This window comes from Homo sapiens, chromosome 12 (assembly GCF_000001405.40).
Source record: "Homo sapiens chromosome 12, GRCh38.p14 Primary Assembly".
Taxonomy (NCBI): domain Eukaryota; kingdom Metazoa; phylum Chordata; class Mammalia; order Primates; family Hominidae; genus Homo; species Homo sapiens.
Window position 1 is genome coordinate 123103436 of NC_000012.12, and position 18114 is coordinate 123121549.

At 50.3% G+C, this 18114-nt stretch overlaps 1 protein-coding gene across 29 annotated transcripts in view, besides 7 other annotated features; it reads right to left on the reverse strand.

Moving 5' to 3' along the window:
* PITPNM2 (phosphatidylinositol transfer protein membrane associated 2) overlaps positions 1-18114 on the reverse strand; it is a 168369-nt gene that overhangs the window by 119956 nt on the left and 30299 nt on the right. For 24 of the 29 annotated variants that reach the window (XM_047429206.1, XM_047429208.1, XM_047429215.1 and 21 more), the window contains exon 2: positions 6950-7053. The gene's annotated coding sequence lies outside the window, so the exon portion shown is untranslated. Of the gene's footprint in view, positions 1-1919; positions 2082-6949; positions 7054-18114 lie in introns of those variants that run through there. The other 5 variants (NM_001384662.1, XM_047429214.1, NM_001384660.1 and 2 more) reach the window with 1 other exon arrangement.
* Positions 781-1521: an enhancer, noted in NCBI's record as "OCT4-NANOG-H3K27ac-H3K4me1 hESC enhancer chr12:123588763-123589503 (GRCh37/hg19 assembly coordinates)". NCBI's record gives its function as "activates a minimal SCP1, AML or CMV promoter by ChIP-STARR-seq in naive H9 embryonic stem cells {active_cell/tissue: H9 hESC(naive)}" and the evidence as "EXISTENCE:reporter gene assay evidence [ECO:0000049][PMID:30033119]".
* Positions 1522-2264: an enhancer, noted in NCBI's record as "NANOG-H3K27ac-H3K4me1 hESC enhancer chr12:123589504-123590246 (GRCh37/hg19 assembly coordinates)". NCBI's record gives its function as "activates a minimal SCP1, AML or CMV promoter by ChIP-STARR-seq in naive H9 embryonic stem cells {active_cell/tissue: H9 hESC(naive)}" and the evidence as "EXISTENCE:reporter gene assay evidence [ECO:0000049][PMID:30033119]".
* Positions 3700-3909: an enhancer, noted in NCBI's record as "active region_7252". NCBI's record gives its function as "activates an Ori minimal core promoter by ATAC-STARR-seq in GM12878 lymphoblastoid cells {active_cell/tissue: GM12878}" and the evidence as "EXISTENCE:reporter gene assay evidence [ECO:0000049][PMID:35858748]".
* Positions 3700-4488: a biological region, named in NCBI's record as "H3K27ac-H3K4me1 hESC enhancer GRCh37_chr12:123591730-123592470".
* Positions 3748-4488: an enhancer, noted in NCBI's record as "H3K27ac-H3K4me1 hESC enhancer chr12:123591730-123592470 (GRCh37/hg19 assembly coordinates)". NCBI's record gives its function as "activates a minimal SCP1, AML or CMV promoter by ChIP-STARR-seq in primed H9 embryonic stem cells {active_cell/tissue: H9 hESC(primed)}" and the evidence as "EXISTENCE:reporter gene assay evidence [ECO:0000049][PMID:30033119]".
* Positions 14991-15804: an enhancer, noted in NCBI's record as "NANOG-H3K4me1 hESC enhancer chr12:123602973-123603786 (GRCh37/hg19 assembly coordinates)". NCBI's record gives its function as "activates a minimal SCP1, AML or CMV promoter by ChIP-STARR-seq in naive and primed H9 embryonic stem cells {active_cell/tissue: H9 hESC(naive and primed)}" and the evidence as "EXISTENCE:reporter gene assay evidence [ECO:0000049][PMID:30033119]".
* Positions 15805-16618: an enhancer, noted in NCBI's record as "NANOG-H3K4me1 hESC enhancer chr12:123603787-123604600 (GRCh37/hg19 assembly coordinates)". NCBI's record gives its function as "activates a minimal SCP1, AML or CMV promoter by ChIP-STARR-seq in primed H9 embryonic stem cells {active_cell/tissue: H9 hESC(primed)}" and the evidence as "EXISTENCE:reporter gene assay evidence [ECO:0000049][PMID:30033119]".

Here is an 18114-nt window from a genome sequence, read left to right on the forward strand (position 1 = left end):
CAGCCCAGCTAAGGTGAAAATGCTGGTCCAGAGAGAGCTGCTGAAGGCCCAGAGTGCCAAGAATCCTCAGCTCACAAAGTCTCAGGCTCCTGCTGGCCAGCGGAGGCTGGGCTTGGCCTCTGTGGGTGCTGTCAGGACCCTGTGGCTTGGCTCTGGGACCCTGGGGCCAGCCCTTCTTCCCTTGGCCCTCAACCTCACTGGGACCATTCATTGTTTCAGCTGTAAAAACACTGGACCTGCATTCCAGAAGCCCAAATTTTGGCTCTGCAACTAGCCAGCTTGCCATGGGACTTTGGACAAGTCACTTCTTTTCTTAGGCCTCAGTTTTCCAGTGGGTTAGGTGTAAAGGTTGGCCTAGATGACTTCTTGCATCTCTCCAAGTCCACAAGAACCTTCTTTTAAGCAAGAGGCACCCAATGCCTCAGAATTCCTCTAGGCTCTACCTTTATTTATTTTGTTATTTTATTTATTTATTTATTTATTTATTTATTTTGAGATGGAGTTTCACTCTTGTTGCGCAGGCTGGAGTGCAGTGGCGTGATCTTGGCTAACCGCAACCTCCGCCTCCGGGTTGAACCTCCGGGTTCAAGCAATTCTCCTGCCTCAGCCTCCCAAGTAGCTGGGACTACAGGCATGCACCACCACATCTGGGTAATCTTTGTATTTTTAGTAGAGACAGGGTATCTCCATGTTAATCAGGCTGAAGCCTGGTCTCGAACTCCCGACCTCAGGTGATCTGCCCGTGTTGGCCTCCCAAAGTGCTGGGATTACAGGCGTGGGCCACCATGCCTGGCCTGGCTCTACCTTTAGAACACATCTGGGGCCCAACAGGCTCGCAGCCCCCACACACCCGCTGCCTCTCCCTGTCAGGCCTCTGAGCCCGAGCCAAGCCATCGCATCCCCTGTGACTTGCACCTATACGCCCAGACGGCCTGAAGTAACTGAAGAATCACAAAAGAAGTGAATATGCCCTGCCCCGCCTTAACTGATGACATTCCACCACAAAAGAAGTATAAATGGCCGGTCCTTGCCTTAACTGATGACATTCCACCACAAAAGAAGTGAAAATGGCCGGTCCTTGCCTTAAGTGATGACATTACCTTGTGAAAGTCCTTTTCCTGGCTCATCCTGGCTCAAAAAGCTCCCCCACTGAGCACCTTGCGACCCCCACTCCTGCCCGCCAGAGAACAAACCCCCTTTGACTGTAATTTTCCTTTACCTACCCAAATCTTATAAAACAGCCCCACCCCTATCTCCCTTCGCTGACTCTCTTTTCTGATTCAGCCCGCCTGCACCCAGGTGATTAAAAGCTTTATTGCTCACACAAAGCCTGTTTGGTGGTCTCTTCACACGGACACACATGAAACTCCCTATTGCAATTGTTTCCCCACAATCACCCAGCTTCCTCCCTTCCTCCCATCCAGCCTGCTCTCATCACCATAGCCAGAAACCATCCTTTTAAAGCACAATTCGGATCCTGACCCTCTACTGCTCAAACATTTCCGAAGCTTCAGGTCACTCAGAGTCAGGGCCAAAGTCCTGATACAGCCTGCAAAGCCCTGATCTAACGGGGCCCTCAATATTCTCTGACCTCCTCCCCTGCTTCTCTTCCCCTCATTCACTCACTCCAGTTTCCTGAACATCCTGGACAAGCTCCTGCCTCAGGGCCTTTCTCCCTGAGCTACCATCCTGGCTCACTCCTCACCTCCTTCAGGTCTTCGCCTAAATGTCCCCAACTTGGGAGGCCTTCCTTTCCCCTGCTTCTGCAACTCTGATCACCATCTGATGTGCTTACAGGTTTTACTGACTATTTTCTATCGAGTGTCTACCCCCACTAGAATACAAGCCCCAGGAGGGCCAGAAGTTTTTAACATTTTATCACGTCTTTATGCCCAGCTCCTAGAATAGTAGGTACTCACTAAATACGTGTGGAATGAATCGCTGCTGATCCACTGAGGGGTCAATCGTGCTGCTGAAATGAAGAGTCAAGCTATTCAACCCCCTGGCTTGAATGGCGCCATCTCAGGAACCCCTCAGAGAATTCCAAGCTCTGTACACTGTCTCCAGGAACAAAAGCGATTGTCCCAGGCAGGGTTCACATCTCAGGAAGTGTGTGAAGAAACAAAGAAAGGAAGTGACACAGGGGACACAGATCCAGAAAGCTCCTGCTGACGACACCTGGTTACCGGGAGGCATGAGGGCTCAGCGCATACGGGAATGCCTCCAGGCACCTGGAGTGCTGAGCCGTCATGCCTCCAGCTGCCTCCCTGCAGGTGGGATGAGGTCATCAATGTGAGTGCACTGGATACCCACCATGGAGAAGTACTGGAAATGAACCGAAGACAGGGGCTCTGTACTAGAGCCAAGGGAAGGCAGAAACGAGAGGAAGAAGGAAAAGAAAGGTGGTGAGAAAGAGTTTCCCATGCTGAGAACCTGCAGGCAGAGATGTAGAGAAACCCCCAGCCCCAGACCACCACTGACCAAGACAGCAGGGCACCCGGCCTCACATGCCCTCAGGTAGGCCAGGCCAGCTTCCTTCCTGGCCCTGCCTGTCCTGAAGAGCACAAGTGAAACAGACCCATGCCCATCCCCCTGCAAGCATGGTATGCCTGCGCAAACCTCAACAAGTGACCAAAAGCATCGCCCAGAAACAATCGTCTTGCCACAGGCCCCCTGCTTCTTCTCTTCACCCCAGATAGCCTGCTCTCAACACGGCAGCCAGAAGACATCCTTCTGAAGCACAATTCGACACAAGCCAGAGGAATGCAGGCTTCTGCCACCTTGTTGAAAGTAAAATACATTCTGGGCCAGGTGTGGTGGTGTGCACCTGTAGTCCCAGCTACTCAGGAGGCTGAGGTGGGAGGACTGCTTAAGCCCAGGAATTCAAGGCTGCAGTGAGCCATGATCACACCACTGCACTCCAGCCTGGGTGGCAGAGCAAGACTCCATCTCTAAAATAAGTAAATAATTCCTTTAAAAAAAAAAACAGGAAGAAAAGAAAGTACATTCTCAGGAAGACATGCTGCATCAGAGCAAACAAGGCAAATGCAGGGGTCAGTCCCCAGAGCTCCGGGGAACAGGAAGAAGAGGAGACTGAGAAGAGCCAGCAATTTCTGGCTAAAGCCCTGCGTACTGAGCAGCGTCAGGTGTGTGTCAAAGAACCATATCAATAAACAAAATGTAGATGGGAGCAGTCAGGAGGGGCACAGGTGACAGAACTGGCCAGGGCATGACATGGGTCATCAGATTGTGCCCAGATCTCTACCAAGCTCTGTGGGGACAGCAAAGGAGCTGAGGAGGAGCTCTCTGTGGACTTCAGGGCAGCATCTTTGCTCCAGGGCATGAGGGCACTCAGCCCTCTACTTCCTCTCCATAACCTCCCCATGCTCTGGGCTCTCTGGGCAGCCTTCTAACATGCGAGACTTATCACAGACCTAAACCTCACAGGGACGGACAGGCCTGCATTCCCATGTGGGACTAGGGCTGCCTGAGAGGAGGGACTAGGAAGCAAGGCCCTCGCTGCAGGTAGGGCTCTGCTGCTGCTACGGATGGAGATAAGTCCCTTCTTCACCTGGGATGGGACTTCATCCAAGGGGCTGGAGGTGGGGATGGGGGTACAGCATGGGGAGGTGGGGACGTGCCCTGGAAAGTCTGTGTCATTGCTGCTGTGGTCTGAGGCCCTGCCCATGTCATGAGCTCTCTTTCTCCTCAGGAGACAGTGACCTTTTGAGGCCTGTCACAGAGACAATGGCAGGAAGTGCCCCTCCCTGCCTGAGCCACGGGGAGTCCGGAAGGAAGCCACTGCCTGGGCCCAGGACCCTCCCCGCTGAGCTCTTGCCCAAGGGACACTGAAGCTCATGGCAATGCCAGAAGCTCTGCTCACCAATGCCGAATGGCAAACATCTTCAACTGTGAGGGCTAAGGGCAAATATTCTCCTTGGCTGGGACCCTCCTCTTTAAGGCAGACCCCTACTGTGAAAGACAGCCAGGCAGTAGGAGACACAACCCCAGCTACCCCACCCACCACCTGCCACCCCCACCTTCTGGAAGGAAGGGCTCTGGATTCCTCCACAGCAAGGAGCTTTTCTAAAAATAAACCCTGGTCCTTGAGCCCTTTCCTTCCTCAGTCCCTTGTGGAGGAGAGAGGAGAAGGAAAGATCTCGTTCTTAGCGAACCCCAGGGAGTGTGGCCTCCCTCCACCCCATGACTCTCGCTACCAGGGCCCGGTGGTCACTATGCCACAAACTCCCAAGCAGGGTGCAGAGGCATGGAGGGGGCAACCCTAATCATCCTCACATGGGGCCTGCCATTTTCTAGGGGAGGGTTTTGGGAAAAGCAGGTGGTACCAGCTCTCTAGTCCAGGATCTGGGGGGAAAGGATGGCACCCAAAGGCAAGTCTCCCACATTACAAGGTTCCCAGGTCAACAGCAGACACAGACACTTACTGAAATATTTCAGGGAAAATGATGCCAAGAATTCTGAGGTCCAAGCAGTATGCCGTGACAGCACAGAGGGAGGAAGGAGAGGCTAATGCGGACCCAGGCCTTGCAAAGAAATTTAGAGGAAAGGAGCTGTTTGAAATGGGCTTGGAAGGTGAAACAGGAACCTGACAGGTAGAGGTGGGAAGAGGGAATTTCAGGATGCTGGAACTGCATAAGCAAAGCGCAGAGAATGTACCAGCATATAAACTAGACGCGGGCAGGGATGCCTGTCTGTTTTGTTCACAGTGGCGTCTCTGGCAACTGGAATGGTCCCTGGTGCAAACTAAGTAACAATAAATACTTTATGGACAAATGAGTGGAGCAGAACAATTCCTGAAGACATTTTAGGTCTAAGTGAAGACCTTCGGATGAGGTGAGCTGCAAGGCCATGGTCTCTGCAAAGCCACTGCACTCTGGAATGCAGTTGTTAAGAAGGAATAGAACCTCCTTCCTGTAAGAAAGGAGACAGGAGACCAAGGCTGTGTTGAAGCAGCGTCCCTCAGAGCAATGTCAGTGCTCAGGCCATGCAGGGCAGAAGAGCTCTCACCGGGCCCTGCCTCGACTTGGCAGCCAAGACCTTTGGCAACAGGACAACCACGAGGCCCCAACCCCGCAGAACCCGAGTGACCCCTGGAGAAGCTGCAAGTCAGGGCTGAGTGTTACTATGTGCCCTCCCCTACATCCACTCCCAGTAGCTGGGACACCTTGGAAAGTGAATTAAAACAAAACAGAAAAACAAAAAATACAACATAGCACTCTCTCTTCTTAGCACTTGGAGGCCTTTTCACAGCAACTGAAAAGAATGAGCAATTAGAGAAGATAACAGTCCACGGTGCCAGCCTGGAACTACGGAGCCACAGAGGCAACTTAAGAGGCCCCATCACAACGTGCCCTATCTTCCCAGCAAGGATGAGGGCACCCGGAGAAGGGAAGGGACTTACCCGAGATCAGACAGCAAGTAACAGTTGAGCCTGGGCTGAACCAAGGGCCCTGTGAGTCACAGGCCAAATTTGAAAAACCATGCCATGTGCTTCCAGGTCTAGACTCGGGGTCCAATCCCAATCCCACCACTGACTAGCTGTGCAACCTGGAGCTGATATCTGCCATCTCTGAGCCTCGGCTTCCTGTGTAAAAAGGGACCCTAACAGGCACTGCTCATGGTTACTGTGGGACTTAGCCCCATGCAGCAGGGGCTGGGTACATTAAACCTACCCCCACCAGCATCCTCACCTCAGCTTTGCTAGCTTCCCTTGATGGAACATCCATCCTCCGTGCCTCCAAAGCTGAAACTAGCCAATGAGTGAACAGGAGAAGGGTTCATCAACATTTAGGAAAAAAAGAAGGAAAAATCACTTTACCTCCTGTTCCACCCAACAAAGGCCTTGGCATGGAAAATGGGGCCAAGGCCAGGGATTGTGCCTGAGACAAAGAAATACGAAATGGAAAGAAGCTTGGGAGGCCAGGGGCTCCTGCTGCCAGCTGGGGGTGGGAGGGGAGAGACTGCTACTCCCTGGGCCATTCAATCTCTAGACCTGGCACTCCCTGAGACTCAAGACAGAGGCTCAGGCCCACCCTCCACTCAGCCTTGGCTTCTCACTGTACATCCAGAGGGATGGTGCATTAAAAACCACACTCATGCTTGTTTCTGGGCCACTGACCATGACTTGCGGGCAGCTGAGCAAGGCAGCAGCCCAGCCTCTGCTCTCTGCCAAAGCCAGCGAGTAGCCAGAGCCTGAGCTTCCCAGCCAAGGCACAGAAGAAGCATAACTCCTGCCTGTCCTCTTCCATGTACTAAGGGTAGAGCAGGCCAGGCTAAGCCTCAAGAGCAAACAGAAAAGAGCCACTCTGGGGTGCTCTATAAACAGGAGAATAGCAGCCGTTGGGGCCTCAAAGGCTGACCCAAGCAGTTTTTATCCTATTTGGAATCGAAAGCTACCAGAGGCAGAACATCGGTCTTTCGTATTTAGTGAAAAGAAGTCAATATTTGCAAAAGCGTAATCAATAAATACAATCTACCCCACATTAATCAGATAAAGTCAGGTTTATAGTGTCTTTTTAAGAGACGGGGTCTCACTGTGTTACTCAGGCTGGAGTGAAGTAGTGCGACCATGGCTTACTGCAGCCTCGAACTCCTGGGCTCAAGTGATCGTCCTACATCAGCCTCCCCAGTAGCTGGGACTATAGGCATGTGGCACCTCACCCAGTTAATTTTTTTTTTCAGAGATATGCAGTCTCACTATGTTGCCGAGGCTGTCTTGAAATCCTGGCCTCCAGTGATCCTCCTGCCTTAGCCTCCCAAAGTGCTGGGATTACAGGTGTGAGCCACTGCGCCCAACAATAGTCCGGTTTTTAGGGGAAAAGGGAAACAGCAATAAAGTCTCCGTACCCTCAAACTCCAAAGGCCAGGGTGGCCTGCAGGGCCTCAGCTCTGGGAAGTAGGGTGCTACTGCACAGGTGGACGGCCTTACCTGTGGGTCTGAGAAGGCTCCACTGATGTCCCTGTCAAAGGAGGAGAAATGGGTCCCTAGGCTCACAGAAGGTTGTTGAGGACCAGGACACACGTGCCAGCATCCTGCAGGGAGAAGCACAATGGGAGAGGAGGTGAGACACCTGGACTCTGATCACTCCACACCAATCCAACTGGGAGACCCACAATGCCGATGGACCAAGAGGATTGAACAGGGGACATCTGACTAAAGGTGTCTCCATTTTACAAAGGGACCCAGCCCAGGACGATTCAGGAAGCAAGTGTCTAACTCAGAATTGGTGACAGATACACCCCAACATTGCCCGGCACCCCTTCTACTTAGGAAAACTGCTCAGGGAGTGGGAACTGAGACCACCAGCACACACCATAAGCCATCCTATTTTCAAAGGCCCCTGGAGCTCTGTCTCAAACCTTGATTTTTCACTCATGAACCCCACTGGGATTGGAGGACTTCAGACCGCAGAGAGGAGGCTGGAAAATGAGGTAATGCAGGAAGAAGAGTGGGAGACACAGTCCGAGAGGATGGCGTCCTGATGCCGGGACAGGGGCATGGTCATATTGTGGGGTGATGCAAATGGCTTCCAGCCTTCCAGCAAGCCCCTCCAGCTGGGCAGAGTGTGATCTGACTACCCAGAGGCCAGAGACAAGCATTCAAAACAAAATGAAAAAGGTGGAGAAATGGATTTCCAAAGAGTCGCAGGTCCAACAGCCTCAGAGATGACAAAGTCTTCACAGGTACCACTGAAGCCACTACCCAACCCAGGGCTCCTACAGGGACCACAGACAAGCCGGGTAGCCCACCTCGCAGCTCAACACACATTCTTGTTTGCCTGACACACATACAAGCCTCCTGACCCTGGGCCCAGAGAGCAGGTAGCAGCCTACAGGGCTCTCCAATGACCATGACAGAGAGGCTGCTTATCTGCTGGCTATGGAAGCTGGGAGTGTTTCAGGAACTGATGCCCAATTCCAGGGCAACCCTGCTTTAGGAGCTGAGGACAGGCATGGTGGGGGTCTCCTCAGACACCAGTCCATGCCCGCTAGGGGCAAGCACAGCCCTAACAAAGGGAAATGGAATGGTGGCTGGGGATGGCAAAGTTATCAACTGCCAAGTGAACGGCCAGACAGAGGAGGGAGAGTGGAATTGGGGAGGTGTGAAGATAGCTAGCAATACACAGCAGTGGGAGGTGTGGCTGCAGGGAGCGGGCGGCTCTTCCAACCCCGCCACCGCCACCGCGTCCTGCATGCCCACCCCCGTGCAGGCTCCTCTGTGGGACTGAGGCTCCATCGCTGTCCTGCCCCAGCCCCTTGTCTCCACGGCTGCATGTACACACCCACATACACACTCAACCCCCGGAACAGATGAAACAGCCCAGGCACCCACAGCAGAGTGGATGCAGGTCCCAGCCCTCCCAGTGACCATGAGCAAGCTGGCCTTCCAGCCTTGCCTCTACATGCCACCGTAGGCCACAGTTGAGGCCAGCAACTCTGAAGTCTCCCCATGTTCGAGGTGAGGAAAGCTGTTGAGAGGGTTGAGGGTTTGCCATGGTAACGCACCCATCAATGGCGAGCCAGATTTGGTAGACCAGCCCCGCTCCAGCCCACCACAATGCTTCTCGGCGGGTGAGAAGGGCAGTGGTGACTCACACCCCACAGAATTAGATCCACAGGGGCTATGAGAAAAAAGCACTCTCAGAACGCAAAGAGAGGCACTGCAGGGAATTATGTTTCTGACTAAAAGTATTAAAAGTGAAAAAAGTGAATGCAGGGTCAGGCTAAGGAGCCAACCCAGTAGGCAGCTACTTGGGGAACAGACCTCTAGGGGCAGGGGGCTCAAAACATCCCTGGAAAGAAATTAAAATGTGCTGCTGGCTAACTCAGTTTTCCTCCAGTGACCCCTCACATAAATGGTAAACAGTGAATCTGTCCACTGCCCTAAGGGGACATGGAAAGTCACAATAAAACACAATTCCTTGCTGGGGTTTGTTGCATGTAATGTACGTTCCATACACACGTAGTCACAGTCCTGGAGGGGAGCAGGGCATCCAAGACCAAATAATACATCGTGTTGCTGTTTCCCAGGAACAAATGTCATTTCATTCCTTTAAGTTTTAAATCCAAATCTTCAATATACTTTTTTTTTTTTTTTTTTGAGATGGAGTCTTGCTCTGTCACCCAGGCTGGAGTGCAGTGGTGCTATCTCGGCTCACTGCAAGCTCCGCCTCCCGGGTTCACACCATTCTCCTGCCTCAGCCTCCTGAGTAGCTGGGACTACGGCGACTGCCACCACGCCTGGCTAATTTTTTTGTATTTTTAGTAGAGACGGGGTTTCACCATGTTAGCCAGGATGGTCTTTATCTCCTGACCTCGTGATCCGCCCACCTCAGCCTCCCAAAGTGCAGGGATTACAGGCGTGAGCCACTGCACCCAGCCTAAATCTTCAATATACTGCTTGAATGATTTGGAAAACTGCAGGGGAAAGAAAAACAAAACAAAAAGATACCTTAGGGGACAAGAACAACAGAAGTCAGAATTGCTTTCCTAAAAAATTTTCAGATCCCTGACTCTGTTTCAGTCCAAGAAAGTGAATTAGCAAGTGAATCTGTTTCTCTATATGATTCCTATTAATAGAATATCAGTCTCTCCTCATCCCCACTAAATAAATGTCAAACAAACACTTAAAGAATACCAGTTTGATGGGGTGCCAGCTACTAGCCTGCCCAGACGTCCACACGTCTCAGGCTGGCCCTTGTGGAAAGTGTAAGTTCCAAATGAGTGGGTAGTGCTGCCGAAGTTAAACACTGCTGTCTCCAGCCTCCGTTGACATGGCGACTGTGAGGCAGGTGGCTAAGGAATGGGTAGAGAGAGACCCATACGTATGGTAGGTGGAACCACGGCAAACTGTCCAGAGTGCTGACAACAGACCATGCATGGCCTTTGACTCCATCTGGAGGCATGGTTCCTAATTTTTTTCAATTTAGATATAATTCACACACCATAAAACCCGCCCTTTTAGCCAAGTGCCATGGCTCATGCTTGTAATCCCAGCACTTAGAGAGACCAAGGCAGAGGATCATTTGAGCTCAGGAGTTCAAGACAAGCCTGGGCAACATAGTGAGACCCCCCATCTTTACAAAAATTCATAAATTAGCTGGGTGTAGTGGCACATGCCTGTAATCCCAGCTACTCAGGAGGCTGAGTTGGGAGGGTAACCTGAGTCTGAGAGATCAAGGCCGCAGTGAACTGTGATCACACCACTGCACTCCAGCCTGAGTGACACAGCAAGACCATCTATAAACCCAACAAACCCCCCCACCCTTTCAAAGTATATAGGTCTACGGTTATTAGTCTACTTACAATGTTGTACAACCATCACCACTATCTGATACCAGAACATTTTCATCACCCCAAAAAGAAAACTTGTACACATAAGCAGTCACTTCCCATCCTCCCCTCCTCCCTGCCCCTGGCAACCACTAATCTTTCTGCCTCTATGGGTTTGCCTATTCTAGATACTTCACATAAATGGAATCATATAATATGTATCCTTTTGTGTCTGACATCCTTCACTTAGCATAATGTTTCTGAGGTTCACCAATGTTATAGCATTTGTGTCGGTATTTCATTTCTTGTTATGATGGAGTAATATTCCATTATATACACTACATCTTGTTTATCCATTCATCCATCGATGGACATTTGGGTTGGTTCCACCTTTTGGCTATTGTGAATAAATGCTACTGTGAACATCGCTGTACAAATTTTTGTGTGAACATTTATTTTCAATTCTTTTGGGTATACACCTAGTTATTCCTAATTTTTTAATAAGATAACATCACTTAATTTAAGACAAGTAATGCATCTGTATTTTGAAAACCTTCAAAACTCAAAAGGATAAAATGGTTAGAGGGTGAGAGTAAGTTTCTCTCTTGTCCCTGTTCCCCAGCACCCAGTTCCCTGCCCAAAGGCAAATTCCAGTTTCTGGCGAATCCTCCCAGAGACCGCCTATACATATACACCCTGCTTTATTTTAAAGACAGCTTGCATGGGAGGAACCTGGCAACTAGATCAGGCCGGAATCAGGCTGGAATCAGCCCAGTAACGCCAGGAAATGAGCACAGTCCAAGTGCCATTTCTCCCCTTTGTCCCAGTGTGCCCCTTGGAAAGCCATGTAGCCTAGAAGAGGCCACGGAACTGGGTGGCAAGAGGAGTCCTGGAGGTAGGTAGGTTCTGAAATGTGGTCCTCCATTTCCCAGCTATGAGGCCTCACTCAAGCAAGCTGCTTAACCTCTCTGGGACTTGGTTTCCCTATCTAAAAAAGAAAGTGGATACTGGTACCTAATTCATAGAATGGCTGAAGAGTCGATGAGCTAAAGAAAGCAAGTGCTTAGCACCATGCCTGGCACACAGTAAGTGCTCAGTGTTTTGCTGCCGCTGTGATTACTACCGCTGCTTCACCTCACTGAGCTGATCTTCAGCTTCCTCCTCCGGAAAATGAAGGAAGGCACCTCCCAGGCACAGTTACGGTGTAGACCCGAGATCCCTGCATGAGGGCCAGGCGTGCTACAGCCTCTGAGCAGTGGGGACTCAGGGAAAGTCAGGTGGCTGAGATGTGTCTCCAGCTCCCTGCATGCTGCTCCAGGCCCTTCTGAGGCTGGGTCTCCATCCTCTCACCCGCCCACCTCCCTGTATTCTCCCAAGAACAGCTCTGAACCCTCCACCATTACCCACCCTCCCACAGGCCAAGAGGAGGAGCTGGCATCATGGACCCCATGCCTTGGGCAGGCTGGCTGGCTGGATTTCTTATTTTATGACCCTACTCCCCCTCCCTTCCATCTTCTTCAACAAACACTGTACTCTGGAGCTGAGCTTCTCTTTCAGAAGCCCAGATTATTGGAGGCAGCAGGGAAACCCTCAGAGACGTTCAAAGTGGAGAGACCTCCAGTGAAGGTGGAAGCATTTGCAGGGCCATTAAAAGACTGTTAGGAGCGATTTTTCTCTCTGCTGGCAAGTGGCAAAAGCAGAGCCCAAAGAACAAAACCCAGACCTGGGAAAGCAGAGCAGGGGAAGAGAAACTGAACAAGCCTTGCTGAACCATGCAGAAGTTGATGGAGGGAAAAAACCCAATACGCGCCCGCACACACACACGCACACACACACATGCACACACACACACATACACACACGCATAACAAAGAGGAGAAATTCTTAGCCTGCAGCAGTTGGTAGCATTATGTAAAATCCCAAGCCCACAAAAATATCATTTGGATGATAAAAAGTTAAATTTAGCTAAGTACAGAGTGACTAATACTATGAGGGAGAGGCAGCACCCCCAGTTGCCTGGAGCTGATACAGCTGGCTTTTAGAAACTTTTGACAAGTAACCAGGGCCTTGTGCAGCACAGAATAACAGATTATGTAATAGGAGGCACCACCATCAGCAATACAAAACACAGCACAAGCGTGCAGCCTTCTCCAAGGGAGGGAACAGTTGGGTTCTGGTTTGAGTGGCTCCAGTAGGACCTTGCTTGGGCCATGGGAACCTGGATATTCCAGAGGCATCCAGGAGCACAGCCAGGCTTTGGAAGGGTTTATGTGAATGGGTCTGCAAAGATCTTTTCCCAGGGTGGTTGCCGGGGACTGTTACTTTGGTGGCCTTCAATGAGCCATGCCCTCGTGGAGTCCCCTCCCTTTTAATCTAGCCTGGCCTTGTGGCCTGTTTTAGCCAACAGTATGGGATGGAAGTAACACTGTGCCAGGTTTGTATCTCTAAGCTTAGGGAGGCCTGGCTAAGAATTGAAAGCAGGATGCAAACAGGTATTTCTGCACCAATGTTCACAGCAGCAATCTTCACAATAGCCAAAAGGTGGGCACAACCCAGGCATCCACAAACAGATGAACAGATAAACAAAATGTAGTCTATCTACATGATGGAATGTTAGCCTTAAAAAAGACAGACATTCTGGCCAGGAGTGGTGGTTCACATGTGTAGTCCCAGTGCTTCAGGAGGCCAAGGTAAGAGGATCACTTGAGGCCAGGAGTCCAAGACCAGCCTGGGCAACATAGAGAAACCCCATCTCTACAAAAAATACAAAAATTAGCCAGGAGCAGTGGCACATTCCTGCGTCTCAGCTACTCAGGAGGCCGAAGCAGGAGAATTGCTTGAGCCCAGGAGGTTGAGGCTGCAGTAAGCCATGATTATGTCACTGCACTCTAGCCTGGTGACAGGGCAAGACCTTGTTTCAAAAAAAAAAAAAAAAAAAAGCAGGAGAGGAGTGAGGAGAATGAAGTGGTGGTGGCAGCCTGGATGCTTCTGCATTTGAACTCTAGGGAAGCTGAAGCCAGGTAAGAAGCCAACCACTTGTACCTTGCCCAACGGGTGATGAGGAGGGGAACGGATGTTCCAGCCAGCAGCCCTAGCAGATACAGCCAAGCACCAGTACCATCTCACCAGCCACAGGAGTGCAGCCAGCCACCTTGTCAATGGGTCCCCCACCCCAAGTAGTCAAGTTGTTCCAGCTGACACCAGTGGCACAGGGATGAGCTAACCTTACCACTGGGCCCTGCCCAAATTGCCACACTGTGAGCAAATAAATAAAATGGCATTTTGCATCACTATGTTTGGACGTACTCTGTTAAGCAGCAATAGGTAACTGATGGTGGCCAAGCTCTCTAGCGGGTTTGCAGGAAGTTCTACTTCCATCATAAGACTCATGAAGACCTTTTGTATCCTCACATATGAGAGTTGCTGAGAGACGTTAGTGCTTAAATGAGTCTTAGGAAGAGAGTAGTCTTCCACTCCCAATATCCCAATGGAGTGAATGCTGAAATGAAGCCGGTGCTGAGTTTCAAACAGCGGTCGTGAGGCTGGGGAATTTCTCCAGTGATCCTACGGAGTAAGCTGGCCATCAGATGATCAACTCAAGCTGTCACTTAATTACACGACTCTCTATCTGTGCAGAGCAGGGGTTTGCACACTGTGGACAGAGATATGGATGGGATTCCCTGAGTGCAGTGAAGTGATCATTGGCATGGGATTGAGACCAGAGTTCTGGCTGCTGACTCTGGGTAAGTCAGCTCGGCTCACTGGGCCTCTGTTTCCCCATCTGTAGAGTGAGGAGGCTGGGCTTCATGACCTCTGAAAGGGTTCTCAGTTCAGCTCCAACATTCTACAATCCTATGATTTGGACAGAAGGGAATACTGACCTGTAATCCAAAGCCCTGCATCAAGTCCAATGACTTGCATCTAGGTTTGCAAGGCAGACAGAAGTGCTCACTGGGCTCCTCAGACGTGTGCCCCTGGAGCCCTGCTCTGCTCTCTGTGCCCTTCATGGATTTGTTCATTCATTGTTCAATATCTCACTATGACAGACTCTGGCATGGTCCAATTTCCTCTCCCTAAATCATATGTTTAGCCCCCTGGACTCTAGGTGAGGCTACGGGACTAGTTATATGAGTAGGGGAGGTCCACCACTTCAAAGCCTGGCCCCCAGAATGCCCCATGCAATCTCCTATGCTCCCTCTTTCTCTGCTTACCAGCCAGCTGACTGCACAGATTCACTGGAGAACTCCAGGGGAGCCCCAAGGGATGGGAGAGCCACAGTGTGAAAGGATCCTGGGTCCCCAATTCACCACATGGAGGCCACTCACAGAGCATGCAATTCAACTAAGACAAGAGTGGGGATAAGCCTTTATTGTGATAAGCCACTGAGACTAGAGAATTGTCTAGCAGTTAGCATTACTTAACTAATACATTCACCAAATTGATACTAATTGTCAGATATGTAGGAGATACACAGGAGAATTAGGCTGAGGTCTAATCTTAGCCTTCTTAGAACTACCAGTCTAGGTGACAGTTCAGGGAGATTGGATACAGACCAGTTCTGTACTCTGCGATCATGATGGGAACCTGCTCAAGCTCTATCCATACTGCCTGCTTCCAAAAACCTTACAACATAGGCTCACCACATTTTCCCACCAAACATGAGATGAGCAAAGAAAGAAAGCAACCAAACAGGAGGGAGAAAATCTCTATCAAGGCTCTAAATTGAGAACAATCTAAAAGCAAATGAGTAAAATCTTAGCTGTGTGCTTCCTGGTAGGCAAAGCAAAGAGGGAAATATGCTGGGTCACAAAGCTCTTCCCAATAGTGGAAAACATTAGTTCATGATGAGAAACAGACATTGTGCTTGGGAAGAGTTCTGAGGGGAATGTCCACGGGGCCAGTGTGTGAGGGAATTTGTGCCTGGGAGGAGGAAGCAAGAGGAAACCAAGCTAGCCTGGAAAGCTGTCAGCCTCCAGGGTGTACGGACAGCTTTGCAGCCCCGCCTGCGGCCTGACTGGCTCTTAACGGAGAGCTCCTCAGAGTAATTCTTCATCCTCGTTAATGTCAACACGGCAGCACCATGATAATGATGGAAAATATTTACATACCATACCACTGATGGGTTGTTTAGACCATCTGGCTACTGGACATGGTAAGTATTGTCGAACACATGGCCCTTCCGCAAATACTGTGCCTTAGTGCTGATGGAGGCCAGGCTGCAGGGACGTGAAACAGTGTCACTCGGCTGTGTCCGTGTGGCCTGTGTCCACTGTCAGCTTTAGTCACCTGCAGGTCAGGGGCAGAGATCTCCAGCTCCCACTCCCAGATGTATCTGGGCTCAGCGTTGATGACAATAGCCTAACTATTCCCTTTACCAAGGGCCTCTTCAGGACTCAAGTGATCCAACAAGACTTAACGCAGCAAGACAGCTCTGATTCTGTGGCCACCTGGGGGATTTCTCCAATGATCTCCTGGGACTGCTGAGAATGCTCAGAGGAAAATTCAGCACAGTTCATTTGTGTTTGAAGCAGCTTCTGCCTAAGCTTTGTCATGCTCGGGAGGTAGGGACAAGGATTAGGTAGCACAACTAAAGGCTGTGCTCTATCTAGAAGCATAGAGGATGGTGATTTTTTTTTTTTTTTTTTTTGAGACAGAGTCTTGCTCTGTCACCCAGGCTGGAGTGCAGTGGAACCATCTTGGCTCACTGCAAGCTCCGCCTCCCAGCTTCACAACATTCTCCTGCCTCAGCCTCCCAAATAGCTGGGACTACAGGCACCCGCCACCACGCCTGGCTAATTTTTTGTATTTTTTAGTAGAGACAGGGTTTCACCGTGTTGGCCAGGATGGTCTTGATCTCCTGACCTCGTGATCCGCCCGCCTCGGCCTCCCAAAGTGCTGGGATTACAGGCGTGAGCCACCGCGCCTGGCTGAGGATGTGATCTTAATCACACCTAAATGAAAATTTCTTCGTTCCATCCATGTGGCTCCATGAGTACTAATATCAGGCTGAATACAGAGGCTTTTTTTCTGGGTCAATGCTAAATATTTCTTCTTTTTCTTTTCTTTCTTTTTTTTTTTTTGAGTTTGGGGTGTTGAGTGGCTTGTTTTATTATTATTTTCTTAATTTTAGTAAGCAAGAAAAAGTTCTGTTGGGAGCCCGTTCAAAAGTAGCAATTTTCTTAATGGGAAGCATACGCTTGCCACCCACGTGAGGAGGCTGTGTCAGCTCAGCAACCATACTGCCCTGTGAGTATGGTGAAGTCGTGTTACCTACTTGACAACCAGTGAGTCAAAGGGAAACTCATCACAGGTGCCTGTATGGCCTGCCGGGGTTTTGCTGCATAGCCGACAAGGGCTTTCTGAGGGCACACCTGCAGCAAAGGCCTGGCTTTGGTTTTGTCAAATATGAACCCGCAGATTTAAGGTCACCTTATAACTAACACCCTCTAAGATTTAAAATGCCCCAACCAGAGCATTCAGGACCTGAGTTCACGGACTGGGTTCAAGAGCCAGTTTTGACTCCAACTGGCTGTGAGCTTCGACGGCCCCTCACCTCCTGGAATCTGTGTTTTGGCTGTGAAAGGAGGGGTAAGACAACAGGTGTCTAAGCAGCATTCTGGTCTAATAGTCACAGGTTGGCTGGGAGGCACTGGCCCAGGGCAGCAGCCTCCTTGTCAAGAGTGCCATAGGAGTTCCTTGGTCTTCTATAGGACTAGTGCCTTTCTCTCTGCAAGTAGAGTGATGACCACAGACCTCTCATATGGAGAGTGGATCATGGAAGAGTCAGAGCCCTCAGCCAGATGTGGCATAAAGCTAATTCACTGTCAGTCACACCCTGGCCAGTGAGAGTGAGCTCACATCCACATCCTCTAAAGGCACTGAGATGTAGTGGCACATGTTTCCTGAGAGTAATTACAGTCTGGGATGATGACCTTTGCTGGTACAACACCTAGCACCTTAGGGCAGGATGGCTGTGCAGAGGCCACACAATACCTCTGCAAAGCTCCTCCCTGCTGGTCAGACACCACAGCCCCAGCAGGGACAACCTCTCTGAGCACCTACTCTGAGCCACCATGTCATTCTAAACAAACATCTGCTCTGCTCACCTGCTCTTTTTGCAAAAGTTATCTGAGCCCCTGGGGAAAATGGAAAAGCATAACGAAGACCACACCCAGATCACTGGGTGCTTCACTTGAACCAGCCTCCAAAACATCCGGCAGCAGGCCAGAGACACACTTCTTGTTTAAACACAGAGAAATGAGACAGCCCCAGGTCTCCCAAGTTAGAGAATAGAATCTTCTCAGAACACACAGCTGCTGCAGGCCCAGCCCAGGCTCCTTCTCTGGGGAGCTGACTCTGGCTCCAGCCCTCAGAGGCCTCTCTGCTGACTCCCAAACCCCAGTGAGCAGGTCAGCGCCAGGCCTGGCCAAGCTCTCACCGGTTCAAGGAGAAATGAGAACATGGCTAATGGGCCAAGCTGTTCAAAGAGCTCCAGTTTGGTGGGGTATGGTGGCACACACCTGCGATCCCAACACTTTACGAGGCCGAGATAGAAGGATCTCTTGAACTCAGGAGTTTGAGGCTGCAGTAGGACATGATCATGCCCTCCAGCCTGGGCAACAGAACAAGACCGTGTGTCAAAACAAACAAACAAAAATCAAAAAGCTCCACTTAGTTTCTTTATTCTTAGATCTTTCCTACTTCTTAGTGTTCCTTTTGTTCATGAGATGATAGCTACAGTGAATTATACCTTTTTTTGTGTTTGTGGTTAAATACGCATAACATAACAATTACCATAATAACTTTTTTATTTTTATTTTA